Source organism: Homo sapiens, chromosome 10 (assembly GCF_000001405.40).
Source record: "Homo sapiens chromosome 10, GRCh38.p14 Primary Assembly".
In the NCBI taxonomy this organism is placed as follows: Eukaryota; Metazoa; Chordata; class Mammalia; order Primates; family Hominidae; genus Homo; species Homo sapiens.
The window spans coordinates 132,418,256-132,445,183 of record NC_000010.11 but is presented as its reverse complement, the minus strand read 5'-3'; the positions used below and the strand labels follow the sequence as shown (position 1 = coordinate 132,445,183).

General features: G+C 57.8%; 1 long non-coding RNA gene across 2 annotated transcripts, besides 12 other annotated features; it reads left to right on the top strand.

The window, feature by feature from the left end:
- The first annotated feature begins 201 nt into the window (after positions 1–201).
- Positions 202–12,422, top strand: LINC03068 (long intergenic non-protein coding RNA 3068). Of its 2 annotated transcripts, NR_184029.1 has the most exons (4): positions 202–412; positions 2,841–2,923; positions 3,612–3,753; positions 10,493–12,422. It is a non-coding gene; the product is annotated as a long intergenic non-protein coding RNA 3068 (long non-coding RNA). The 2 variants fall into 2 exon arrangements; NR_184030.1 differs by lacking the exon at positions 3,612–3,753.
- Positions 1,256–1,305: a silencer, noted in NCBI's record as "silent region_2965". NCBI's record gives its function as "represses an Ori minimal core promoter by ATAC-STARR-seq in GM12878 lymphoblastoid cells {active_cell/tissue: GM12878}" and the evidence as "EXISTENCE:reporter gene assay evidence [ECO:0000049][PMID:35858748]".
- Positions 1,406–1,455: a silencer, noted in NCBI's record as "silent region_2964". NCBI's record gives its function as "represses an Ori minimal core promoter by ATAC-STARR-seq in GM12878 lymphoblastoid cells {active_cell/tissue: GM12878}" and the evidence as "EXISTENCE:reporter gene assay evidence [ECO:0000049][PMID:35858748]".
- Positions 5,094–5,757: an enhancer, noted in NCBI's record as "H3K27ac-H3K4me1 hESC enhancer chr10:134252931-134253594 (GRCh37/hg19 assembly coordinates)". NCBI's record gives its function as "activates a minimal SCP1, AML or CMV promoter by ChIP-STARR-seq in naive and primed H9 embryonic stem cells {active_cell/tissue: H9 hESC(naive and primed)}" and the evidence as "EXISTENCE:reporter gene assay evidence [ECO:0000049][PMID:30033119]".
- Positions 5,758–6,422: an enhancer, noted in NCBI's record as "H3K27ac-H3K4me1 hESC enhancer chr10:134252266-134252930 (GRCh37/hg19 assembly coordinates)". NCBI's record gives its function as "activates a minimal SCP1, AML or CMV promoter by ChIP-STARR-seq in naive H9 embryonic stem cells {active_cell/tissue: H9 hESC(naive)}" and the evidence as "EXISTENCE:reporter gene assay evidence [ECO:0000049][PMID:30033119]".
- Positions 14,116–14,616: an enhancer, noted in NCBI's record as "H3K4me1 hESC enhancer chr10:134244072-134244572 (GRCh37/hg19 assembly coordinates)". NCBI's record gives its function as "activates a minimal SCP1, AML or CMV promoter by ChIP-STARR-seq in naive H9 embryonic stem cells {active_cell/tissue: H9 hESC(naive)}" and the evidence as "EXISTENCE:reporter gene assay evidence [ECO:0000049][PMID:30033119]".
- Positions 20,998–21,524: an enhancer, noted in NCBI's record as "H3K27ac-H3K4me1 hESC enhancer chr10:134237164-134237690 (GRCh37/hg19 assembly coordinates)". NCBI's record gives its function as "activates a minimal SCP1, AML or CMV promoter by ChIP-STARR-seq in naive H9 embryonic stem cells {active_cell/tissue: H9 hESC(naive)}" and the evidence as "EXISTENCE:reporter gene assay evidence [ECO:0000049][PMID:30033119]".
- Positions 22,342–23,245: an enhancer, noted in NCBI's record as "H3K27ac-H3K4me1 hESC enhancer chr10:134235443-134236346 (GRCh37/hg19 assembly coordinates)". NCBI's record gives its function as "activates a minimal SCP1, AML or CMV promoter by ChIP-STARR-seq in primed H9 embryonic stem cells {active_cell/tissue: H9 hESC(primed)}" and the evidence as "EXISTENCE:reporter gene assay evidence [ECO:0000049][PMID:30033119]".
- Positions 23,703–23,762: a silencer, noted in NCBI's record as "silent region_2963". NCBI's record gives its function as "represses an Ori minimal core promoter by ATAC-STARR-seq in GM12878 lymphoblastoid cells {active_cell/tissue: GM12878}" and the evidence as "EXISTENCE:reporter gene assay evidence [ECO:0000049][PMID:35858748]".
- Positions 23,793–23,852: a silencer, noted in NCBI's record as "silent region_2962". NCBI's record gives its function as "represses an Ori minimal core promoter by ATAC-STARR-seq in GM12878 lymphoblastoid cells {active_cell/tissue: GM12878}" and the evidence as "EXISTENCE:reporter gene assay evidence [ECO:0000049][PMID:35858748]".
- Positions 23,883–23,932: a silencer, noted in NCBI's record as "silent region_2961". NCBI's record gives its function as "represses an Ori minimal core promoter by ATAC-STARR-seq in GM12878 lymphoblastoid cells {active_cell/tissue: GM12878}" and the evidence as "EXISTENCE:reporter gene assay evidence [ECO:0000049][PMID:35858748]".
- Positions 25,056–25,960: an enhancer, noted in NCBI's record as "H3K27ac-H3K4me1 hESC enhancer chr10:134232728-134233632 (GRCh37/hg19 assembly coordinates)". NCBI's record gives its function as "activates a minimal SCP1, AML or CMV promoter by ChIP-STARR-seq in primed H9 embryonic stem cells {active_cell/tissue: H9 hESC(primed)}" and the evidence as "EXISTENCE:reporter gene assay evidence [ECO:0000049][PMID:30033119]".
- Positions 25,961–26,864: an enhancer, noted in NCBI's record as "H3K27ac-H3K4me1 hESC enhancer chr10:134231824-134232727 (GRCh37/hg19 assembly coordinates)". NCBI's record gives its function as "activates a minimal SCP1, AML or CMV promoter by ChIP-STARR-seq in primed H9 embryonic stem cells {active_cell/tissue: H9 hESC(primed)}" and the evidence as "EXISTENCE:reporter gene assay evidence [ECO:0000049][PMID:30033119]".

The following is a 26,928-nucleotide window of genomic DNA, read 5'->3' as shown; positions in this document are numbered from 1 at the left end:
TCCTGCCTGCCTGGCCTCTTGGAAATAACTGGCTGAGCCTCTCTGTGTGTCTGGCACAGCATGGGGCCCAGAGGCCAGAGCCACCGGAGGTACCCTGCAGAGAGGGTAGGGTTGCAAAATCCTCCCCCCCACCCCCACAACTGCAGAACACACCCTGGGCCCAGCTGGGCTCTAGAGGTGCCCAGGAGAGGGAACTGAATTATTTCAGGAATTGGAGATGCCCCTGTGGCTGAGGAGGAGCTGGGGCTGGGGCCGGGGCCAGGGCCGGGGCTCTGACCTGCCACTCTGCCCCACATTAAGGGCAGAGACCGAAGAGGTGGCTGCCTGGACCTTGGAGCCCCAGGGTGGGCGGCCACCTTGGCCAGGACTCGGGCGCCCCCTTACAGAAGGCTGTGCTCACCCCTTCTTTTCTGCAAGTACCTGGGGACCTAGACGGGGGCAGGGGGCCTGGGGGTCTGGGCCTGGGGGCCAGACCCTCCATCATTTCCTAGGCTGGTGCTCAGAAATGGAGGAATCTCAGGACAGGTCCCTGTGGTCTACGGGGTGGCAGGCCTGAGGCTGGCCCTCTCTGCAGAGGACACCTTGGGGGCTGCTGATCAGCCTTGAGGCCAGAGATGGCTCTCACCTGCTTCCCCGTCACAGGACCAGCACTGTCAGCCTCACCTGGAGGCTTTCTGCAGGGCTGGTTCTCTTGTCCCATCAGTGTCTGTGTGGGGTCACCCTGTTCCCCTAGGAGGGTGGGTCTGCAGGGGGGAAGCCAGAGTGGCCCTTGGAGACCTCAGGACCCCAGAGGGAATGAGCAGGGAGCCTTGAGGGTCTGGAGGAGGAATTCAGAGAGGCAGGAAGCCGGGGAGCCCTGAGGAGAGGCGAGAGGGAGTGAGCGAGCGGGGGAGGGAGTGAGGGGGGAGGGAGCCCTGAGGAAGGGGAGGGGAGTGAGCGGGGAGGGAGTGAGGAGGGAGGGAGCCCTGAGGAGAGGGGAGGAGAGTGAGTGGGAGTGAGGGGGGGAGCCCTGAGGAGAGGGGAGGAGGAGTGGGGGGGTGGGGAGCCCTGAGGAAGGGGAGGGGAGTGAGCAGGGAGGGAGTGAGGCGGGGAGCCCTGAGGAAGGGGAGAGGGAGTGAGTGGGGAGGGAGTGAGGGGAGGGAGCCCTGAGGAAGGGGAGTGGGGGGAGGGGAAGGGTGAGGCAGGAAGCCAGGGAGCCCTGAGGAGAGGGGAGAGGAGTGAGGGGGAGGGGAAGGTGTGAGGGGAGTGGGGGTTGAGAGGAGAGGGAAGGAAGGGAAGGGGGAGGGGAGGGCGATGGGGGAGCCCCCACAGACACCCCAGCTGCTGGCTGGGCGCTGGGCACCCCCCAACCGTTGGGCCTTGCTCCCACTAGGGGCAGTCGTGTCCCAGCCCCACAGTCAGGTCTGAGTCAGGGACCCGTGGCGCCCGCCCTCCCTCAGCTGAGCTCACCAACAGCTGAGAAATATTCATTTAAAAAAGCCCCCATTAAAGAGCTAACTCATTGCTGACACTGCAACTTTTTATTTTATTTTATTTTATTTATTTATTTATTTTGGAGACGGAGTCTCGCTCTGTCGCCCAGGCTGGAGTGCAGTGGCGTGATCTCGGCTCACTGCAAGCTCCGCCTCCCGGGTTCACGCCATTCTCCTGCCTCAGCCTCCCGAGTAGCTGGGACTACAGGCGCCCGCCACCACGCCTGGCTAATTTTTTGTATTTTTAGTAGAGATGGGGTTTCACCGTGTTAGCCAGGATGGTCTCAGTCTCTTGACCTCGTGATCCACCTGCCTTGGCCTCCCAAGGTGCTGGGATTACAGGCGTGAGCCACCGCACCTGGCCTTATTTTATTTTATTTGAGACAGAGTCTCACTCTGTTGCCCAGGCTGGAGTGCAGTGGCACGATCTCAGCTCACTGCAACCTCCGTCTCCTGGGCTCAAGGAATTCTCCTACCTCAGCCTCCCAAGTAGCTGGGACTAAAGGCGTCCCCCACCATGTCCAGCTAATTTTTGTGTTTTTAGTAGAGATAGGGTTTCACCATATTGGCCAGTCTGGTCTTGAACTCCTGACCTCAGGTAATCTGCCCACCTCGGCCTCCCAAAGTGCTGGGATTACAGGTGTGAGCCACCACACCCGGCCTGCAACTTATTTTTATATTAAAAAATTTGAGTCCTTAGAGGACGGAGGCCTACAGAGCCATGGGCCAGGCAGAGCAGAGGCAAGAAGGCAGAGGTGAGGGTGGCACCGTCCCCTGCCGGGGCCTGCAGTGTCATCTGGGGCTGGATCTCCAGGCCCCGTCCTCCTGCGACCACCTCGCTGCCCATGTGAACCTGTGGTCAGCCCCGGGGACCTCGGGGAGGCAGGAGGAAGTGTGCACCCTGCCCTGCCTGCTGGCTGGGAGCCCACGGGGTGGGCAAGGGGTGGGCAATGCCTTGTGACGTCTCCCATGTGGCTTCCTTCATTTTTTCTGAAGTGCCCTGGTCCTTTTCCTTCTTTTTAAACATTTTATTGTGGATGTGTCCCACCCCACTTAAGGAAGAGTCTAGTACCTCATGCCGGCCGCCCCGTCCTGGCCCCCCGCCCATTCCGGCCCCCCCATTCCGGCACCCCATTCCAGCCCCCCCATTCCGGTCCCCCCATTCCGGCCCCCGCATTCCAGGCCCCCCATTCTGGCCCCTCCATTCTGGCCCCCCCATTCCAATCCCCCATCTGCCCCCCCCATTCCGGCCCCCCCATTTCAGCCCCTCCATTCTGCTGCTGTCCCTTGGTGTGTGAATGTTTCCGTTTGTCTCTACAAGATCACGAGTTCCCTGCGCTGAGCTCTTTTTCCTTTCCCCTTCCCCAGCGCCCCTGCTCTGTGCTGCATTTGGAAAGAACCTAAATGTCCTCCCTCTGAAGACTGGTTAAACATCTGGTTATGATCCAGTGGTAAGCAGTGCCTCCCTTGGGTTAAGAATACACACGCACACATGCATACACATGCGTAAACACACACATGTACACACATGCACACTCATACACTCACATGCCCACTTATACACATACATGCACACATGCACTCCTAAACTCACATGCATGCGCACACACGCACATGCACACACACGTGCACACACACACTCATACACATATACGTACACACATGCACACACACGTGCACACATGCAATGCACTCATACATACATGCACACATGCGCTCCTACATTCACACACACATGCGTGCACACACGCACACGCACATGCACACTCACGCAAGTCACACGTGCACATACGCACATGCACACTCATATGCACACACGCACACCCACACTCACATGCATACGCACCTGCTAACAGCCCTGAGGAGGGAACCCCGGGTTAACAGGAGCTGCCCCTGAATGTGTGAGGGATGGGCTGGTTTAGGATACCATGCTTGGCTGTCAATATTTTGTAATTGTTCTGTAAAAAGAGTGGATTCATTTTGTAATAAGCAAATAAGCTTAAAAAAGAAAAAGAAATCTGGGATCAGGAGAATTCGGGGTTTTACCCACCTTCGCTTTAAATTCCATTTCTGCTCTCAATGTTTGGTAATGGTTTCACGGCCTTTTCAATTGCTCACGTGAGTGTTTTCAACCACCAGCTCACGTTTCTGGAATCCGTTCCTTTGGCTGTGCCACTTGTGATCCCTTCTGCTCCAACGTTTGCCTGGGGAGCTCATTAGGTAGCCAGGACCCTGGGCCACTGCACCCCACCAGGACGGCAGGACTGAAAAGGCCACTGACGTGAGTGCGGGGAGGTCGGGTGGAGATGAGCTCAGCCCGGCTTAAAGTGGGGCATCCCGACACCCCCAAAGGCATGGGGCAGGAGCGGCGGGGCGAGTGTCTTGCCAGGCTTAAGGCTCTAGGACCAGAAACCGGGCTCAGGGAGAGGCTCCTGGGTTGAAGAGTGGCCGTGGGGGCTCAGGAAGTCCTGCCCCAGCCTTTCCTGTGCTGCTTGAGTTCTCACTCTATGAGTATATTCTGACGAAAATGAAAATTAGAACATGAAACCTCCCTTTCTCTTCTGCTGGCCTCGAGGGTACACATGCTGTCGGCTGGCGGAGTAGGCCCTGTCCCACCGCAGGCAGCATTCTGCAGGCCAATTTGAGAGGCCTAGTGCCTGCCACGCAACCACCCTCGGCCCTGAGCCGTCTTCGAGGAATGGGGTCCCGGGCCCTGCAAGAGATGCCTGGTGCTGGGCATCACTCAGCCTAGTGTGAGGGAACCCATGGAGTGGAGATGGCAGGGCGTGGGGGGGTCCTGAGAGCCAGAGTCTGCACCACAGTGGTGGCTGGGGCCATGGACAGTGGGGCTCAGGGACGCTGCTGAGGAGACAGTGGGCCCAGATCCTGTGTGCTGGGGAGAGAGTGGGCCCAGATCCTGTGTGCTGGGGAGACAGTGGGCCCAGATCCTGTGTGCTGGGGGGGTAGACAGTGGGCCCAGATCCCGTGTGCTGGGCAGGGGAGACAGTGGGTCCAGATCCCGTGTGCTGGGGGGAGACAGTGGGCCCAGATCCCGTGTGCTGGGAAGACAGTGGGTCCAGATCCCATGTGCTGGGGGGAGACAGTGGGCCCAGATCCCGTGTGCTGGGGGGGAGACAGTGGGCCCAGATCCCGTGTGCTGGGGGGGAGACAGTGGGCCCAGATCCTGTGTGCTGGGGGGGAGACAGTGGGCCCAGATCCCGTGTGCTGGGAAGACAGTGGGTCCAGATCCCATGTGCTGGGCAGGGGAGACAGTGGGCCCAGATCCCGTGTGCTGGGAAGACAGTGGGTCCAGATCCCATGTGCTGGGCAGGGGAGACAGTGGGCCCAGATCCCGTGTGCTGGGAAGACAGTGGGTCCAGATCCCGTGTGCTGGGGGGAGACAGTGGGCCCAGATCCCGTGTGCTGGGCAGGGGAGACAGTGGGTCCAGATCCCGTGTGCTGGGGGGGAGACAGTGGGCCCAGATCCTGTGTGCTGGGGGTGAGGGTAGTGGGAGATGAGGGCAGCACTCCAGCTGTTTTGGGAGTGCCAGCCTGTGGTGGGGTGGGGGAAAGGCCCCCTCATGCAGGCACACATGCACACACACACGAGTCCACACACAGATGCACACAAATCCACAGACAGACATCCGCACATGCACACATGCATCCACACACAGGCGCACACACGCACACATGCGTCCACACGCAGGCACACACGCACACATGAACACACACATCCACATGCAGGCACACACATGCACACACACATCCACCCACAGGCACACAGGAACATGCACATCTACACACATCCACAGACACACACACATGCAGGCATACACTCACATGGGCATACACACCCACACAAGTATCCACATGCAGGCACACACACATCTACATGCATCCACACAGGCATACACATGCATCCACATGCATGCACACAGGCACACATGCATCCACACGCAGGCACACACAGACATGCATCCACACACAGGCAGACAGGCACACACGTATCCACATGCAGGCACACACACCCCCACACCCCACATGCAGGCACACAGGCACACACACATCCTCACACAGGCACACACATGCACGCACGCAGGCACACATGCACGTCGCATGTGCTCTGGGTGGATTTTGGTCACTTTGAGCACGGCGTCACGGCTCATTCTGGGGTCTGTCTCTGCAACTTCAAGGATAGCTGTGGGCACCTGGGGGAGGTCTTCTGGGCATGCCTTGGAGCTCAGATTGGCCAAGGCCCATGCTGTTGACGCAGGAGCCCACCACGTTCACGTTCACCAAAGCCATCCCGGGGATGTAGGTGGCATCTTTTCTGGAAGATTCCATGACTTTCTGGAACCCACTCTCAGCTGAACACAGGGCCTTCGAGAGGCTTCTGCTCCAGGGAAGGTCCCTCCCCCACGTCCAGCTGATCACGTGCTGCTTTCAGTCCAGGGCTTCTGAGGCAGGAAGAGGCCACCGGGACAGCCAGACTCACTGGGCAGGAAATGGGACCCACTGGCCTTGCACTCTGGGGTGACCAGCTGTGCTTGGTCCCCAGGCACCCATCTCCTCCTATTCTTAGGGACAGAGTCAACTGCTCAGCAATAGCAGAGCCCAGGGCCAATAGGACCCCCTGGGGCTCGCCCACACTGTGCCGAGAGGCCTGCACTGGGCACTGGCTCTGGAAAGGCACCGTCAGGGCCACACCAGCTCCAGAAGATGGGAAGATCTGTATTGTACGGCTGGGTGCAGTGGTGTCGGTGGAAGAGGGTCGTGACACTCTTGGAGTGGGCCTGCTCCTGGCCAGCTGCTGACAGTGAGCAGCCTGGTTCTCTGTGTCATGGGCCAGAGCAGACCAGACCAGGGGTGCTGGGCTGGGCCTGGACCGAGGAAGGAGCCTGGCCTGGCCCTCCTGGGTGGTCCCATCTGTCTCTGCATGGGCAGGTGGATGGGGCATCTGCCCTCCTCTGCCCCAGACTCACCCACTGCCCCAGGGATGCCTGGCTTTGTGAGTGGCCTCCAGGGAGAGCCAGCTCCACTTCTCTAGGACACAAACATGCCGGGGCCTGGCTGCGTCCTTGCTGTTGCCAGCTCTCCCCAAATGCCCGTCTCTGAGGGCCGAGACAAAAGCCTGGCCCCGGGACCTCTGGCCACCACAGGGCTGGCAGGGTCCAAGCAGGATGCTTCCAGAAGGAGCGCAAACACAACCCTCTCCAGGCCCTGAAGTCTGTTGCAGGCATGAACTTGGCTGCGCTGGAAGAAGTCCCTTCTCTAACTGCAGCTGTGCTGTGGGCCCTCGGGGATGGGCCTGCCGGGCATCGCTGCCCTCGGGAGTGCATCTCATGGGTGCACCTGGCAGGGGTGGGGACAGAGGCAGTGACTGGGGTGGGTGAATGGGCAGGAGGTCCTGCCGGCCCTGCTGCAGGAGGGAGGCCCTGTGGCTGCCTGTGCCGGGCAGGGAGGAAGCTGCAGCACTCAGGCCCCTGCCTGTGCAAGTGCCACAGAGTGTAGCAGGCCAGGTGGTTCCCACCACTCTCACTTGGTCTACATATAAATATATGGGTCTATATGTGTGTGTCCCAAAAGGAAATATACCAAAGAGGTAACGGATTTATCTCCGGTGGGGGTGATTATGGGTAATTCTAATGTTCTTTTCAGATTTTTTTACATTTTCTTAATAATATGCGGTGAGCACCTGCGATTTTTGTAATGAGAACAGAAGAGAAGACAGATGCAGAAAGCTGGTCAGCGGGCGGTTCTAGGGATGGGCTAGGGACGGGCATGTTTTGCGCTTATAGACTGGCCGCCCGGGCTTCAGGGAAGAGGTGTGGGTGGATCAGATGTAGGCAGGGCCCTGGCCCTGAACATGGAGGCCCAGCTCCCGTCAGAGCCATGGCTCGCACAAGGAGTTGCTGGGGGAGTCCTGTGAGGTCTGGGGGCACACGGCTAGCCCCGCAGGCCCAACTCATTCCCTTGCCCTCGGAAGAGAGAGACAGGCCTCGTCCTCACACAGGCCCACTGGGTGCCCACAGAGGGAAGTGGGGAGCTGGTGGAGCAGTCAGGCCAGCGAACAGCATGGTGTCACCAGTCTGTCCCTATGCACAGGCCCACCTGGCCACACCTCCCCCGGCTACCATCCCCGAGGTTGTGGCAGGCTGTGGCTGGGATGTGGCAGACACACCAAGAGGTGATTGAGGGGGCAGGGGCCTTGGGCCCAGCCAGACGTCTCCCTGTTGTTCACACAGAGGCCAAAAGGGCTGCCCTGGCCCTGACTACTCCTTTGGGGATGTTGGGGTGACATTCTGCCATCTTTCCTGCACCTGGAAGGCCCTGGATTCGAGGTGTATGGGGTCGCTGGTGGGCTTTGTACTTCTCTGGGGTGTTCTGGGGAAACAGAGCCCAGAGTCACCCCTGGAGCTGTCCTCGTGCTCAGGCTGAACGTGGAGGGTGCTTCTTGCCCTCGACTCCATGGAGAGTGCTGTGGGCCTCCTGGCCAGAGATGAGTGTCCCGCCAAATGTCCGCAGGCCAAGAGCGCCTTGGAGGGGGCACCTGAGGAGCTCTGGGCTGAGTCACTGGATGGAGCCAGTCATCCAGGATGCCTGGAAACAACCTTTCTCCCGTCGTTGGGCAGCTGGATTCGCTGGGACTTCCCCTGGGGCCTGGCGGGTTTTCCTAAGGCAGCTGTGTGCCGTGGGTCTCCCTTAGTCTGTCCTAGTGGCAGAGGCCATATGACTGGCACTGGGAAAGATCCCAGCCACGCCCACAGGTCCAGGCCCTCCGAAATGAGAAGACACATGGTGGGAACCCTACAGAGGGGCCTTGGTGCTGGGAGCCCCTCACAGTCAGGGGAGCCAGGGCAGGCGGGCCTGGGTCAGGGGTGTAGACAAGGCTGGGCTGGAGCCACCCAGGGCACAGAGCTGCCCCTCCCCACCGGGCTGGGTGCCCCTCCCTAGGGCGGCCCAGGTTAGCAAATTCAAAAGATCAAAGTTAGAACAACAAATCCATTTTCAGCATACGTGTGCTCCATGCAAATTTGGGACAGACGTATACTAAGCAATGATACATTGCTGATCTGAATTCATCTTAGCTGGGGATCCCGAGTTTTATCTGGCAGCCTGCCTCCCTGCTCCCCACCACCTTGGCTCCCACCAGCTAGGAGCCTTGTAATCTCTGGATGCCAAACTTCAGCCAATGGGCCACATCCAGTGGAGAAGGGACCTGGGGGCACCCAGTCAATGGGCCACATCCAGTGGAGAAGGGACCTGTGGGCACCCAGTCAATGGGCCACATCCAGTGGAGAAGGGGCCTGGGGGCACGCAGCCAATGGGCCACATCCAGTGAAGGGGCCTGGGGGCACGCAGCCAATGGGCCACATCCAGTGGAGAAGGGGCCTGGGGGCACTCAGCCAATGGGCCACATCAAGTGGAGAAGGGGCCTGGGGGCACTCAGCCAATGGGCCACATCCAGTGGAGAAGGAGCCTGGGGGCACCCAGTCAATGGGCCACATCCAGTGGAGAAGGCGCCTGGGGGCACTCAGCCAATGGGCCACATCCAGTGGAGAAGGGGCCTGGGGGCACCCAGTCAATGGGCCACATCCAGTGGAGAAGGGGCCTGAGGGCACCCAGCCAATGGGCCACATCCAGTGGAGAAGGTGCCTGGAGGCACCCAGTCAATGGGCCACATCCAGTGGAGAAGGGGCCTGAGGGCACCCAGCCAATGGGCCACATCCAGTGGAGAAGGGACCTTGGGGCACCCAGTCAATGGGCCCCATCCAGTGGAGAAGGGGCCTGAGGGCACCCAGCCAATGGGCCACATCCAGTGGAGAAGGCACCTGGGGGCACCCAGCCAATGGGCCACATCCAGTGGAGAAGGGGCCTGAGGGCACGCAGGGAGGCTGTGGCAGTGGGCAGAGGGGCGTAGCGGTGTCTGGGGTAGGCAGGATTCTCCAGGGAAACAGAACCATTGGGATGTGTGTACAAACAGTGTACATATAGGGTATATACAGTGTACATAGAGGTCATATACCATGTACATATTGGGTATCTACAATGTACATATAGCGTATATACCATGTACATCATATAGGGTATATACTATGTACATGTAGAGTATATACAGTGTACGTGTAGGACATATACCACATACATATAGGGCATATGCTGTGTACATATAGGGTATATCCCGTGTACATAGAGGTCATATACCATGTACATATTGGGTATCTACAATGTACATATAGGGTATATACCATGTACATCATATAGGGTATATACTATGTACATGTAGAGTATATACAGTGTACGTGTAGGACATATAGCACATACATATAGGGCATATGCTGTGTACATATAGGGTATATCCCGTGTACATATAGGCCATATGCCATGTGCATATAGGACATATACCGTGGACATATAGGGCATATACCATGTACATATAGGGTATATATTGATATTGTGTACATATATAGAATATTCATAGTGTGAGTGTGCATATAGTACACACATATACAGCATATATACAGTGTGTGCATATAGAGTATATATAGTGTGTGTGTGTAAAGTTATAGTGTGTGTATATAGTGTATGCATATGGACTATACTGTGTGTGTATAGTGTATATGTAGCATGCATACAGAGTATATATAGTGTATGTACACATATAATGTGTATATATTATAGAGATAGCATATGTATACATAGTGTGCATATAGTGTACATTAATATAGAGTATGCATATATTTGTGTAATATAGTGTGCATATAGATATATACAGTGTATGTATAGTGTATATATAGTATACATATATAGAGATTATATACAGTGTGCATAGTGTATATGGTCTGTGCATATTGCATACCTATATATTCTATACACAGTGTATGTATGTGTATACATAGTGTGTATATGTAGTATACATGTAGTGTGTGTATATATATATAAAATGTAAATATATACATAGGGAGAGCGTGCAAGAGAGATTTATTTTAAAGAATTGGCTTATGTGTTTGTGGCAGCTGCTCATCTGACACCTGAGGGCCGCTGGAGACCCAGGGACACTCCTGCTGCGGCTCATGTTTGGAAGCTGTCCGGAGGCGGGACTTCCTCTTCCTCCAGGGGCCGCCGTCCGGAGGCGGGACTTCCTCTTCCTCGGGGACAACTGTCTTTTTCTCTTAAGGCCTTGGACTGCCTGGATGAGGCTATAATATGGTCAGTACTCTGCTCTACCCAAAGTCTCCTGATTGAAATATTAACCTCATCCAAGAAACACCCTCACAGCGACGTCTACACTGGTGTTTGACCAAATAGCTGGGGACCGTGGCCTGGTCGAGCTGACACAAAAGTAACCATCACAGCTGCTGCTATGGTCTGAATGTTGATGTCACCCCCAGATTCATTTGTTAGAACTTAAGCCCCAAGGCGATGGCATCACTGGTGGGCTTTGGGAGATGAGGAGGATATGAATGGGACCAGTAGCCTCATAAGAGTTTTGAGGGTCCTGGTTGCCCTTCCCCACCCTCCCGTCCCTGCCACTGGGTGAGGACACAGCAAGAAGCCGCCGTCCTGGGAGCAGAGAGCAGAAAGCAGCCCTCACCAGACGCTGAATCTGCTGGGGCCTCGGTCCTGGACGTCCCAGCCTCCAGAACTGAGCGATGAAATTCTGGTTACAAATTGCCCCCTCTGAGGTATTTTGTTTTAGCAGAAGGAACAGACGAGGATGACCACCGAGGCCCTTCTCAGGCTGCCGCGGGTCTCCAGGATGGGGACAGTCAGCTGGGGCCAACCGAGCTGCATGTGGTCAAGGGCCCATGCATGTGACCAGGGCCCGCCTCCCACGTCACCCAGTGCACCCTCAGCATGGGACACGGACCTAGACACTGCCGGGGTCTCCGTCCTTGCAGGCACTGCCAGGCGCCCCTCCCTGGGAGAAGCTGCAGCTCTGAGGCTACGGTCTTGCAGGTCAGCCACCACCTGGCTTTGTGGTCTGTTATGCCCGGCCTAGTGTCCAGGGTGGTGACATTTATTTGAACAAAGACCAGTCTCCACCACCAAAGTCATGGCTCTGCTGTTGCTTCCAGAACCAAAGAAAGGCTGGCTTCTGGGCTGGGCGTGGTGATTCACGCCTGTAATCCCAGCACTTTGGGAGGCCGAGACGGGCAGATCACGAGGCCAGGAGTTCGAGACCATCTTGGCTAACATGGTGAAACCCTATCTCTACTAAAAATACAAAAAAAATTAGCTGGGTGTGGTGGCACGTGCCTGTAATCTCAGCAACTCAGGAGGCTGAGGCAGGAGAATGGCTTCAACCTCGGAGGCGGAGGTTGCAGTGAGCCAAGATCGCACCACTGCACCCCAGCGTGGGCAACAGAGCAAGACGCTGTCTCAAAAAAAAAAAAAAAAAAAAAAAAAAAAAGTCGGCTTCTCAAGCAGGTGGAATCAGCGCTTGATGAGACTCTGTAATGACTGCATAATGAAGGCCCTCCCGGTCCTCCCCCAGCCGGTGCTCCTGTGAAACGGAGCCTGGGAAGCTCCCTTACTGGAGAAGTCTTTCGGCCGGAGAATCGATTCCTGCAGCCCCTTGTTTCAATTCCGTGAGGCTTGAAGGGAGGGGCCGGCGGGCACCTGCAGACAAATGCATCCCAGGTGTAAGGAGGGTGCCCGTGGTCGCCCACGTGGCCAGCACAGGGCCGAGGGGGATGAGGGCAGGGGCTGCCGCCTGCACTCAGCTCCAGGCCTGCCTCAGGGGAGCTGCAAAGCTACTCATTCTCATCAGCTTCAAGCTGACATCCTTTTTGTCTTCAGTCCAGTATTAGCTTAAAGGGAAAAGCGTTCTTGTTTGAAATGTTAACTGGGTGCATTCTGCTCGTTTTAATTGTTTCATTTGCCTATTACGGCAGCCACAGCAGACGTGTTCCGATTAGCAAAGAGGAAAATCTATCCACTGGATCAAACTTGTAAATGTGCATCTCTCGGGGACTCTGTCCACATCAGGCCTGTCCCTGGGGTCATGGGGTGTGGGGAGGGGAGGCGAGGGGCCAGTGCTGGCCAGGTGGGACGAAGGCCACTGGGTCCGTTCCAGTCATTGACTGCTCTCTTCTCTCCTCGTCCCTCTCACTCAGGCCAGGTCCTGACCCCCTTCCTGCTAAGGGCGGGTGGGCTTGGCAGCCTCTGCTGGGCACAGGGTGGTGGCCACATCTGCTGCCTAAAAGGGCTGCCCCGGAGCATCCCTGGGGGTGCTGTATCTGCACCTCCAGCACTGCAGGCCCCTCACAGTGTCCCAGCCCTGTTGCCGGGTGGCTGCTCCCCTGCCCTTGGGGCTAGGGCATCCAGGTCCTTTGGGGGCTCTGCTGGCGGTGCCCAGACCTGTGGGAGCTGAGCCCCTCCTGATCCAGCCTCCCTGCTGGGTGCCCTCCCCTGGGCCTGCAGGGCGGGAGCCCCCGGGGCTGCTTCTCCTGGGGCCTGGGCCGTTACAGGGTGAACACGAAGCGAGGGCGCACTAAACACGCTCCGTAACTACCTGGGCTTGACTCGGTCTGTCCTCCACACCGCCCTCACCCAGGCCTAACCTGTGTGTGGCACGGCGGGAGGGGCCCCCTGCTGTCTGGGTGGTTGGTGGGCCACTGCACCTGCTCCATCCCACCCGTGGCCTGCACAGCCTGTCCCCACCCTGCATCACTGAGGAGCCTCCTGGGGTTCTGCCGTGGTCCATGCTGCAGACCTGCCTGGGACAGCCCCTGCCAGGCCCCCCAGGCTATCCCTGCTGGGCACTCACTCTGGCCAACCACCATGGCCTGCAGCCTCCCCTGCTTCTCACACTGCCTGGCGTGGGACCCTGTCTCAGAGAGGAGCTCCCCGCTGCGTCCCTCTCTGCATCGGGACGTGCACACTCTGCACTCCCTCTCCAGAATATTTCTCCTTCTCCAGTGACAGCCCGCCAAGCTTGCTCTCAGCTCTTTGAGGATCAGCTTAGAGATGGCTTCTTCCAGGAAGTCCTCCCTGATGCTCCAAAGTGGCTGGTTCCTTCTTTCATGCCCAAACTGCCCCTCACAGCTGCTCACTCCAACAAAGGCACTGGCCTCTGTGATGAACCAGGAGACTGAGAGAGCTGGGGAGATGCTCCAGGGCCTGTCCTGGACTGTCTTGATTCCCTGGGGCCTGGCACATGGCCCGGGGCCTGGAACTCAGACAAGAGCTCCACAGGAGCTGATGGCAGAATGAATGAATGAATGAATGAGGTGCAGGCTCGGGGTCCTTGGAGCCTCCCAGATTTCCAGGCAAGGTGAGACTTTGCCCTGCCTTGGGCCACTCAGACCCTACGGGGAGGGGCCCTTGGGGCCACAGAGCTAGGCAGGTGGGAGCTGCTGAGCCTGTGTGGACAGATGGGGCGTTGGGGGCTACAGGGGGCAGCTGTGCCCCACGGCCTGGCCCTGAGAATGATTCTGTCCTTGGTGCCTCTGAGGGGCTGGTGCCCCAGGCCTCAGAGTGAACCCCAGGCCTTGCCCAGCTGGGTCCAGTCCTGGGGCCTGCACCTTCTAGATGGCCAGCCTGAGCTGCTGGGGGCCCAGCGACCTCAGGGGACAAGAATGGTGGGGAGGAGGAGCCCCTGGGGAGGGGATGCTATTGAGCCCCAGGAGGAGGGTGAGCAGGGGTGGGGTGCGGGGGTGAGGTGGACAGGAAGCTTCAAGGAACACCCCATGATCTGAAGGCACCATCTTCCTTCTCGGGACCCTGCCCCACCAGGCCTGCCGGGCCCTCAGAGGATCACAGCACCCTCACGCTCTGGGACAGGTCCAAGCGCAGCCCGCGTGGCCCCTACAAGCCTGCTGTCATTGGCTAAGGTGAGTTTACCTGAAGGCTCAGGGACCCTGGGGGATGGGCTGAGGGGAGCGGCAGTGTTGCTGGGGACACAGATCCTTGGTGCTGGGTAGACAAGGTTGCCCACCAGGGACCCTCAGGCCCACAGAAACACACTCAGGACACATACGTGACACCCCAACATGCACACACGCTGACACACATGTGCACACACATGCACGGAGAGACACAACGACACCACACAGGCACATGCAGACACATGTGTGCACACATATGCAGATACACAGACACCCCAACACATGCACATATAGACACACCCCAACACACTGACACACGTGTGCACACACATGCACACAGACACAACACCTCAGCATATACACACACGCACACACATACACAGATACATAGATACCCCAACACATGCACACATAGACACAGACACCCCAACACAGACTGACACACACATGCAAACATGCATCCCAACACACACACTGGCACATGTGCACACATCACACCGATGCACATGGACCCCCACACTCACACACACTGACACGCATGTGCTCACACATGCACATATACATACACACTTAGCTGCCTCAGACACACACACCCAGGACCCTCAGGCATGTGCCCCACAATGACCTACAAACACACAAGCTCTCAAGGGTACCCCCACATACACACCACCTCATGGACACACAACCCACGAACACGCGCCACACCTTCCTGCTCTCCCTCACACACACAGACACACACCTCCCACCTGGGTGTCCTCCGCCTGCACTTGCCTGGCAGCCTGCTGTGGTTTCCCTGGAAACACTGTCACCATGGTGGCTTTGCAGAGCCTGGGGTGCAGCTCCAGCGCAAAGCCCAACCTGGGGCACAGGCAGCCAGTGGGCATGGACTGGATTCAGAAGAGACGCCCAGTGGAGGGCTCAGGTGGGAGGGGGACAGGCCCTGAGAGGCACAGTGGGGGCAGGGCAGCTCACTCCCGCCAGAGTCCCTGCAGCTGGGCTGTGCCACCCCTGCCAGGTCCTGAGATGGGAGGAAGTGCAGCCCACCCTGCCCCTGCCTGCCCAGGTCAGCAGTGCCCACGGGCAGAATCCCTTCCTGAGCCCCCTGCTCTCCTGGAGACAGCATGGGCCACAGGAGGAAGGAAGGAGCTGGGGAGAAGGTGGGGCCTGCAGCCTGGCTTGCCAGGGAGGAGGGGTGGATGGGGACCAAGAGCCAGGAATCCCGGCACAGCCGGGAGGAGCCGATGAGCCAGGGCAAGGGGTCAACACTGGAGCCTGATCTCCCAGGAAGGGTGCTGTTCTGGGCCCCGGCTGGGCCAGATGAGGCACCACGTTCCCAGGCCCTGTGTTGGCAGCAGGCCTACCTCTGCCCTCCCAGGCACTCTGGGGTGTGGTCCCAGGGCCTCCCCACTTGAATGGAGGCCAGCCAGGTCCGGCAGGTGGGAGCACCCAGGCATGCGCTGGGTGTGCAGAGGGAGGGCCCATGCTGCCCCACGGTTACCAAGCTGCAGGGACAGAGCACGGGGGCTGCCTCTGTGGCTCTTGGTGGGGCACGGGGCTGTGCTGGGAGGCCCAGACATCAGGGAGGGAGGATGGGCTTGGAATGGGGACTATAAAAGGTCACGGTGGGGAGGGCCGCTGACCCCTGTCCTTCTCACGGGGGGTCTCCAGCACACCCTGCTGCCACTGGCCCCTCGGCCTGGAGCCAGGCTCCATTGTGGAGTGGGTAGTGGCCACTGTGGAAGGGTTGGGGACACTTAGAGGCTGAGCTGCTGGATGCAGGTTGACATTTGAAGCCTGGCCTGATGGAGCTGGGCTTTCCCTGGAGCGCTGGACAGGCCACCCAGCCTTCTGGCTCTGCTTCCCTCCTGCATCTCATGCTGGGATTGATGGGTGGTCAGGGTGCCTGCTCTGAGCTAAGGCCTGACTGGCCCCAAATTCTGGGACCCATGCAGAGGGAAGGGGACATCTGTGGTCCTTGGAGGAAGGAGTCAAAACAATTGGGGCAGAAAATGGGATGAGTGGGCAAGGGCGGGAGAGCACAGCTGAGAATGCCCGGGGATGAGGAGTGAGCAGGGACACTGCGCAGCTGCTCTGGCCTGGACTGAAGCCCACCAGGGTACACCCTGAGGCCTGGTAGAGTGCCAGGGCCACACTGCTGAGGCTCCCTGTCCTCGAAGTCCGCTTGGAGCCCTCCTACCTCTCCAAAGGCGGCATTCTCCCCTCCACCGAGCCCGTGTGTTCATCCACACAGTCCCCATTTCTCAAGGCAGGGGGCTTGCAAGACAGGAGCCAGGCCAGGTCCCGGCCACATCTGGTCCACATGGCTTGTTTGTGGTGTGGTGCCCGCAGCCGTTCCTCCAGAAACATGCCTCAGCAGCCCAGCACCTTCCAGAGAGCCTTGCACACAGGCATGCATGAGGAAGCTGTGAGGAGTGTGATGACAACAGCAATAATGACAAAGGTGATGACAGTGGTGTGAGGTGATAATGAAGACGGTGGTGGTGAAGATGAGATGAAGATGATGGTGGTGATGGTGATGGTGACAGTGATGACAGTGATGGTGGTGTAATGGTGATGAGGTGATGAAGGTGGAGTGATGGTGATGAGATGAAGATGATGGGGATAATGGTGGTGATGACAGTGATAGTGATGGTGTGATGATGGTGACAGTGACTGTGATGGTGATGATGATAGTGATGACAGTGATAGTGATGGTGATGATGATGGTGATTGTGATGGTGATGGTGACAGTCACTGTGATGGTGACAGTCACATAGTGATTGTGATCTGATGATGAATGTGATGACGATGACATTTATAGTGATGGTGTGATGATGATGATGATGGTGATGGTCACGGTGATAGTGATGGTGATGATAGTGATGACAGTGATAGTGATGGTGATGATGATTGTGATGGTGACAGTGATAGTGATGGTGATGATGATGATGGTGATTGTGATGACAGTGAGAGTGATGGTGGTGATGATGGTGATTGTGATGTGATGATGAATGTGATGGTGATGGTGATGATTGTGATGGTGACAGTGATGGTGATTGTGATCTGATGATGAATGTGATGATGATGACGACAGTGATAGTGATGGTGATGATGATGGTGATTGTGATGTGATGATGAATGTGATGATGATGATGGTGACAGTGATGGTGATCATAGTGATTGTGATATGATGATGAATGTGATGACGATGACATTTTAGTGATGGTGTGATGATGATGATGGTGATGGTGACAGTGATAGTGATGGTGATGATAATGATGACAGTGATAGTGATGATGATGATGGTGGTGATTGTGATGACAGTGACAGTGATGGTGTGATGATGATGGTGATGATGGTGATGGTCACAGTGATAGTGATGGTGATGATGATAGTGATGACAGTGATAGTGGTGATGATGATGGTGATTGTGATGACAGTGATAGTGATGGTGTGATGATGGTGATAGTGATGATGATGATGATGGGGATCGTGGCACACCTGAGCTAACCTTTTGGGCCAGCAGCGCCCCCTGCCACTTGCTGGACACCCCAGGCGCCGGCATGCTGGTTGCTCCCCTGCTGTCTCCCAGCTCTCAGGCAGTAACTCTCTCAGTCATGTGAAGACATTGAAATGCAGCCGTCGTGCCTGGCATGCGGTTGGGCATTAATTACATCTCCTTTTGCAAAGCCTAATCAACTTCTCCTAATTAACCTGTTTCCTGTCAATGTGAAATAATTGAATTCACTCGGAATTGGCTGTGCACATAGAGCCATCAGAAGCCTACGTGGCTATTTGTAATGGTGGAGATTTTGCAAACAACATACCTTGTTTTGAAAACACATTTTCAATCCCTGTGGGCATATGTCCCTCTGATGCACAAGCTTTCCGTGCTTTCCTAGAGCAGGGATGCTTCATTCATGGGGTCTGTGAACTTGGACGAGAAAAAGCAACATCTCTATTTTACTAAGCTCTGACTGAAATCTGGCATTTCCTTCCACGAGGAACGCCAGCCATCCCAGGGCTTTATCTCAAATAGAAAACACAGGTGTGTTTGTATCACTTTGCAGTTGTTGCAGGTTTTTCAAACTTGTCCACACTCACCTCCACCTCTAAAACTCAGGGGCTGCTGGACGCTGGGTTTTGTTATCCAGTGCGACGTGTAATGCAGCCACTGCCACCCTCACACATCTGCTTTGTTGATATTTTGACATCTGCTTCACTATGGCTGTTTTCCTTGGTGGCCGTATGTGTTTTTGTCCAAGTAAATCATGAATGGTAGAGCGCAGGGATTTCTAGGGCAGTGAAATGATTCCATACGATACTGTGATGGTGGACACACGGCATCGTGCATTTGTCAAAACTGATGGAACAGCAGCAGTGGTCCCCAACCTTTTTGGCACCAGGGACCAGGGACCAGTTTTATGAAAGACATTTTTCTTATAGACCAGAGGCTGGGGGGGGCGATGATTGGGGATGAAACTGGCCCACCTCAGGTCATCAGGCATTAGATTCTCGTGAGGAGCTCGGAGCCTAGCTCCCTGGCATGGGCAGTTCACAATAGGATTCATGCTCGTATGAGAAGCTAATGCTGCCGCTGATGTGACGGGAGGTGATGCTCAGGTGGTAATGCTTTGCCTGCCCACCTCTCACCTCCTGCTGTGTGGCCTGGTTCCTAACAGGCCCTGGACTGGCACCAGTGCCGATGCAAATGACGGGCATAAGGGCACTGTGGGTGGGGGCTCAGGGAATGCCCTGTGCTACCTGCTCCCTGCTCTGTAAACCAAAAACTGCTCTACAAAATAAAGTCTATTCACTTAAAAAAAAAACTCTTAATTATGAAAAAAATTATCCCCATGCTGTCAAAACGCCCCCTCCCCACAGGAGCAGATGCTCTAGGGACAGCTGGCCCAGGCTCAGGCCAGCTGAGCCCCTTGCCAGCAGGCGTGCAGCCCACGCCTGCCGGAACAGGGGAACAGCATTGGCCTCTGTGTCCTGGAACAGGGTGGGATGCCTGGGGCAGCACAGCCCCCAGATCTATGGCCAGGTACAGCCACCGGCAGTGAACACCTCCGGAGGTGGCCTGCAAGGAAGGAACGGTCACGTCGTTGAAAGTGCAATTCAGCATCCACACGGCACACGCACGCGCACACGTGGGTACACAGCATCCACACGGCACACACACGCGCACGCGTGGGTACACAGCATCCACACGGCACAAGCACGCGCACGCGTGGGTACACAGCATCCACACGGCACACACATGAGCACTCATGGGCACACAGCATCCATATGGCACATGCACACACACACGGGTACACAGCATCCACATGGCACACGCAAGGCACACATGGGCACACAGCATCCACACGGCACACGCACGGGCACACAGCATCCACACGGCACACACACGGGCACACGGCATCCACACGGCACACGCACGTGGACACACGGGCACACGGCATCCACATGGCACACGCACGGGCATGCGGCATCCACACGGCACATGCAAGGCACATGGCATCCACATGGCACACGCACGCGCACACGGCACCCACACGGCACACGCACGGCACACGCACGCGCACGCAGGGGCACACGGCACCCACACGGCACACGCACGCGCAGGCACGGGCACACGGCATCCACACGGCACACGCACGCACACGCATGGGCACCCAGTCGCACATGCGTGTCAGTATCAGCAAGCAGCCCCACTGCAGGACAGGCCCAGTATGCTCCTTTCCCAGTTTTGAGGAGCTGAAATTCTTCCTTAATCTAAATGTTTTCCGTTCGGAACGCACACGTGTTGTGTTTTTTCCACAGTCATTAGATTCAGAGTAATTAAACCAAAACGCTCATTTCTGGAAAGAGACAAAGTATTTTGAGTTTCTACATCAATATTTAACATCTGCCTAACATTTTATATGCTGCCCTGGTGGGTAAAACGATTTCTACTCTCCATAAAGATGGACTCTGCCACAAATCCCTCAAGAAAGAAAGATATTTTCTTGTGAAGAGTCAGCCATAGTGTCTGCCTTACGTAGAGCTTGACAGTTTTTTTTCTTATTTTAAAATCTCAGAGCCAAATTCAGTTCGACAATCAAGCTAAATGATTAGTCGGCTTTAGAGCTGATGTGTGTGAAGTTGGAATTTAGCACATTAAATATTTCAGGGAGAAAGTGCGCAACGTGAGACAGAAAGGCAGAGGCTTCCTCTAGAACTCAGCCTGGAGTGGTTGCAGGAAAATGCGCCAATTAGCAGGGGCTTCGTTCTCGCCAATGTGACAGCTCAGAACATTTGCAATCCATTTTGGAGGATGAGAAAGGAATACTGTGCTCCCCTTCGTGCAAAAACCAAGCCATGCAGAACAAAATTACAGGCCAGGAGGACATGCCAGGGCCTGTATGGACAGTGCTGGATGGTGCAGAACCCACGTGCTGGGTCCCTGTGTGCTCATGCCCATCCAGAGATGCCCTGGGGACACAAACAGGCCCTCAAATGCAGAGGGCCTGTCCAGGGAGCAGGTGAGAGGGAAACGCAAAGACAAGTGGTGCCTCCAGGGTGGCCCAGCTCAAGCCTGCCAGAGCACACCTGCCTCGGCACCGGGGCTTCCGGGACCCCACCACTGAATGCCAGGCCACCCCAGGCAGGGGACAGGCTGCGAGAATGGGCCTCAAGCCCTTGCTGATCTCCTCGCCAGCCACAGTGGGACAAGCTCTGATGGGGCAGCAGGGCCCTACTCACCCCATGGGCAGCCACTGGTTAGAGATACCCCGGCCGCCTGGGTGCCCAAGCCGAGCCTCCCCTGGGGGCCGTGTGCGTCCCATTTGGAGTCCCCACCATGCCCACTGTCCTCTCCACAGCTGCTCTGGTGGGTGGGGTGCTGGCCTACCAGGGTGCAGCAGGGACACCAGGAAGCTCAGCACCTCACTCAGCACCTGCTCTTCAGGCTGAAGCTGGCAGCGGGACCACCTCCACTTGCCTAGGACTGCAGAGCACAACCTGGCACCCTCCTGAAGATGACGCACATGATCATGACCCACAGGACCCAGCGGCTCCACCCCCAGGGGTGAGCCTGAAAGAAGCAAAAACACACAGCCACACACACACACACAGCCACACACACAGCCACACACACACACACAGCCACACACACACAGCCACACACACAGCCACACACACACACAGCCACACAGAGACTGCAGGAAAGCTCACAGCAGCTTTGTGCACAGCAGCCAAAAGGCAGAGACAGCTCACATGTCCACAGACTGACAGATGGACAAACACCATATGTTCACCCACATGGGGAGCATCATTCAGCATAGAAAGGAATGGGGCACAGGCACGCGCCAACACGGGGGCATCGTGAAAGCACTGTGCTCGGCGAAGGAAGCCACACACGACCGCCTGCCAGAACACATGCTACACACAACGGTGTGTCACACACAACCACACATCACACGGAACACGTTACATGCAATGGTGTATCACACACAACCACGTCACACGGACCACATGGAATGCATGTTACAATCATAAATCACACAAACCACATGTCACATGGAACATGTGTTACACACCGTATCTTACACATAACTGCACGTCATACAGAATGTGTGTTACACACAACTGTATCTCACACACAACCGCACATCATACAGAACGCATGTTACACACAATCATATCTCCCACACAACCGCATGTCACATGGATGAAATGGAACGCATGTTACACACAATCATAAATCACACACAACCACATGTCACACAGAACGCAGAACAGGGAAGTCCCCAGAGACGGAAGCAGATGAGGGACTGCTTAGGCCTGGGGAGGAGGGTGATGGCTAAAAGCTGTGGGGTTTCTTTCTGAGGTGAAGCGAATGTTCTAAAAGGGCCCGTGGGGATGTTGCCCATCTATAAACACGCTGAAAGCCATGGACGTGTCCACTGGAAGGGGAGGGATCATATGATATGTGAGCTACGTCTCAAAGAAAGCTGTTTTTTCAAAAAGACTTGTTTCCCGTCTCCCCCGAGGGCTTCCTGGACTCCTGTTGCTTGTCTCTGTCACGAATCCTCACCCCAAAATCATAGGATGAACACCCCAAAGAAATCATGAGAACTCTTCTCTTTGTAGCAAACCACCAAAGGAGAAATTCATGCTTGAAACTGTATCCAAACGGATCAGGGGCCCAAGGGCTGGATGATCTTCACCGCAGCTGGTCTCTGAAAACATGCCTTGTGACCTGCAGTGAGGAGTCCGCATCTGTCTGTGCCACCTGCTGAGACTGTCCTCTCTCGGGCTCCCATGGGGGCTGCGGGCTGGAGCGGGGCCAGGAGGGAGGGGGATGGACGGCTGGGAGGAGGACAGACACCCACACCTCGGTGACAGGTGACAGGCGTTGGCTTGGGCAGAGCCTCGGTGACCTGCCTAGGTTTTCTTCCCCAAAGCAGATCCCAGCTGCGTCTGCACCCAGCAGGCCCCAGAGCCTTCTCCTCCGTGGGGGGGTGGGGGTAAGTCCCCTCCTGCTGGGCTGCCAGGCCTCAGGCAGCCTCGACGCAGCTCTGCACCCAGCTCCCGGCTCCCACAGAGAGCCCTGCAGCTACAGCCGGGGCGGCAGCTTCCAGTGGGCTTCCTGGACCCCTGTCTCCCAGCCACGCCGACCGCAGCCACTATGTGGCTCCTTACAGTCCTCCCCCGGGACCCCTCAGCCCCCACTGGCCTCCGTCTCCCCATCCTGGTGCCCCTCTGCTCTCTGTGGGTCTCCATGGGTCACCCCACTGCCCCGTTCATCTCTCCGTCCTGGCGCCCTCTGCCCTCCGAGGGTCACCCCCGCCGCCCTCTCATCTCTCAGGTCTTGTCCCTGCCTGGCAGCGGGTTGAGCACTGGGCCCACTCCTGGGCCTCCCAGCTCCCTTGGGACCATCTCTCTCACCTCTCCAGCCCCTCCAGCTGTGGACACTGACCCCTGCCTGGCTATGGGGCTCTAGGGCAAGCCCCTCCGGCTCCAGGCCTTCAGCCCCCTCCCCCCAGCCACACCCAGGAAGGAAGGAAGCCCCCACTGCTCTGCCCCTTGGAGGGTCAGCGACGCCTGCCCGCACAGGGAAGCTCTCCTGCCTCCCTTCGTGGTTGGGGAACTGGCTGCCCTGGGTGAGGCCCTCAGGCCTCACCCGCCTCTCTCTGCGGAGAAAAGGCCCGTGGTAGCAGCAGGCGGGGCTGGGGCTAAAAATAACTCTGCTGGGGCAGAGGCTGGCTGGTGAGGCCGCCTCTGTAGGGTGGGGGCGGGAAGGGAGACCGGCCCTGGGACAGCCTCAGCTGGAGCCCAGGGGCGGTGGCCCCAAAGGCCAAGCAGGAGGCCCACTGACCTGACCTCCCCCCGCAGAGAAGCTGGGCAGGGAGCAGGAAGTCCATCTGGGGTCAGGGCGGTGGGGCCCCCCCAGCTGCAGCCCCCTACTTCCAGCCGGGTATTGATCGGCTTGAAGCTCCTTGGGGCACAAAGGAGCTTAACCCTCCTGAGCAGATGACGGCCACGCTCAGGCCAGGGGCAGGGCCCCATCTGCGTCGGCCTCTCCGGAGTGCACCCTTCCCATGGCTGGGGGTGGGGCTGGGGCCGGGGCCGCAGGGTGCAGGGAGCCCAGCGGGAGAGCCCAGCCCTGCCGCGGCTCCTCCCTCAGTGTCCACGGGGAGATGCCCCTGGCCACAGGCAGCCGTTGGCACCTCAGACCTGGGGCAGGAAGGGGAGGGAGCCCCCGGCCACAGGAAGCCACGGAAGGGTGAGCTGGGCACAGAGTTCCAGGGTGACACAAGGCCAGGTCTGCAGAGCAAACATCTGTTAATGCCCAGAAAACTCACCCGGGAAGAAATACGCAAAAGGCCCACAGGGTGTGAGACTGCGGGAGATTCTAATTTTCTTTTTTTTTTTTGCTTTTCTTTATTTTGCTAATTTTTTCCCCCCACCAACAGGGGTTATTTTATAATCAAAGAAACAGAAAACCCTCGCAGAAAAGGGAAGTGCTGGCTGGGGTCCTGGCCACGGTGCCGTCCAGGCAGGATTTGGAAGGGTCCTGGGCTTTGGAGTCCAGGAACCAGCTGTGGCCCCCCGGGTCTCAGCCTCCCCAGCTGTAATGCAAAGTATGCACCCCCAGTGAGGACTCCTCACCTGCTCTTGCCCCTCCCCAGCCATCCCACCACCACCCAGCAGGGCCTAGGCTGCGGGGCTTGCACTGTGAGAAGCCCAGGCAAGGAGGTGACGCAGAGGCCCTGGCCCAGCCCACACAGCCAGGCCACAGAGCTGGAGCCCAGGGCGACCTAGTCTCTGTCCCCAGAAGGCAGACCAGGACTCCAGCCCCAGGAGCCCCACACAGGCCTTGACTCCCTCTCCTGGACCACGCCAGGGTCCCCCTAGATGGCGGGCAGGGGGTTGTGGGCAGGGCCTCCGGGAGATGGGACCAGCAGAAATGGAGCCACCTGGGGGAGGATCTGCAGCAAGAGGAGGAAGATGAAGAACAAGAGGAAGAGGAAGAAGAGAAAGAAGGCTGGAGAGCAGCACCCCAGGCCACGCCACCCACTGCGTCCAGCCCAGCTCTTCCACGCCAGGCCACGACAACCCCTGCGTCTACCCCAGCGCCCATGCCAGCCCCTGCTTCCAGCTCTGTCTGGGGTGGGTTGGAAGTGTGACCCTCAGAGGTAGGGATTGGGGCTCAGGCTGGGACCAGAGAGTGACAGAAAACAGACCGTGCTCCCTGCACCTGCCACCCCGTGTCCTCCCACACGGCCTGGTCCATGTCGAACACGGTAACAGCTGGCCTCAGCAGAGGAGGGACAGCAGCAGCCCTGGTGGAGACGGGATGCTGGTGACCCTGCGGGGCTGGTGGTGCCAGCAGTGCCTTCCCTGCTCCCGGAGGAGTTGCCCTGGGCCCCCAGCACAGCGGCTACTGGGGTCACAAACGTACCCCAACCCCGAAAGCTCCTTGGAAGGCTAAAGGGCCAGAGCCCTCTCCACGACAAACCCTGGGAAGACAGCCAGGGTTGGCTCTGTTCTGAGCGAGGAAGTCTTGCCAGGTGGGGTGCTTGGGAGGCTGGACCCAGAGCAGGGGAGACCCAGAGCAAGAGAGGCCCAGGACCAGCTCCGGGCAGCCCCGCTGAGGCCCCAAGCCCCCTGCCGCACAACCCACTTTGCACCCAGGACCTCGTACTGACTAGGGTTGGCTCCCCAAGGGCCCCTCCCCCAGGAGACCCCTCCTCCAGGCCCCTCCCCCAGGAGACCCCTCCTCCAGGCCCCCCCCCAGGAGACCCCTCCTCCAGGCCCCTCCCCCAGGAGACCCCTCCTCCAGGCCCCTCCCCCAGGAGACCCCTCCTCCAGGCCCCTCCCCCAGGAGACCCCTCCTCCAGGCCCCCCACCAGGAGACCCCTCCTCCAGACTTCCTCCCCCAGGTGCCTCCTCCCCCAAGGCTCCCCGCCAGGTGCTCCTCCCTCAGGTGTTCCGCTCCCAGGTGTCCCCCTGACCCCCTCTAATAGAGGGACGAAACCCTGGTCCCAGAACAGGGCTTTCCCAGCAGGAATTCTTCCCTCAGTTTAGCCTTCCTGGGGAGCCCATGGGTGGAAGGGCGGGGATTCAGGACCTGGTCCAGCCCAGCCTGACCAGTGGGTACTGGCAGCTGGGGAACCCACCTCCCTGGGCCTCCGCTCCTCACCGGATGAAAGCCCCACCCATGCATCTCAGGGTCTCAGGATTGAAGGGCAAGGGCTGGGGCTGGGCTTGGGGAGGAGCTGCAGGCTGTGGCGTCAGTCCTGGCCTCAGGCTCAAAGGCGGGTCCCGTTGCTGTCACCTGCAGTGGCTGAGCTCTAGTTGCAGGCTGGGCAGCTGGGAGTGAATGTGCCCAGGGCTGCACGCATATTTTGTCCCAGGGGTGAGGCCTGCTCCTTCCATTGGACACACACATTTCTTGAAGCAGTGCCAAGCTTTACGAAGGCCTTCCTTCGTAAAGGGGAGCCAACCCTAGTCAGTAGGAGGTCCTGGGTGCAAAGTGGGGTGTGCGGCAGGGGGAGTCACCCCGAGCAGCAGATCAGGCAGGGGCAGCCCCTGGGCACCGGAGCTCAGAGGGATGAGATGCCCAGCCCCAAGGGCCAGGGCCCTGACTCTGCTGCACCCACGTGGGCAGGGCCGGGGAGGGAGGAGGGGAAGGGGAGCTGCTCTCATTCCTCTCAAGTCCTGGCTCTGCTCTCCTGGGCTCATGCGAGCCCCTCCCTGGATTTTCAAAGGCTTCCCAGGACTCTTGGGCCTGGAGGGCTTCAGGAGGATGAGCCCAGCCCCTCCGGGAGGAAGTGATTCTGGGTGATTTTGTTGGAGAAAAGGGCTCTGCTGCTACAAACCAGTTTGAAAACCATGCCCCTCCTCGCAAGTCAGGTCCAGAACCATAGGAAACCATGAGGGTTGTTCCCTCATGTGCCCTGGAGAGGACCCTCCAGGTGTATGCTGCTGCCCTCCCCCGACCCCTCCCCCGCCAGACGATCCTTGCTGAGGGCAGCGATGCCTTTAGAGCACAGAATGTTCTAGCAAAACCAGGAACAAGCAAAGCCACCATCGTCATCTCTGAGATCTCCCTTGGTTCTGAATGAGCA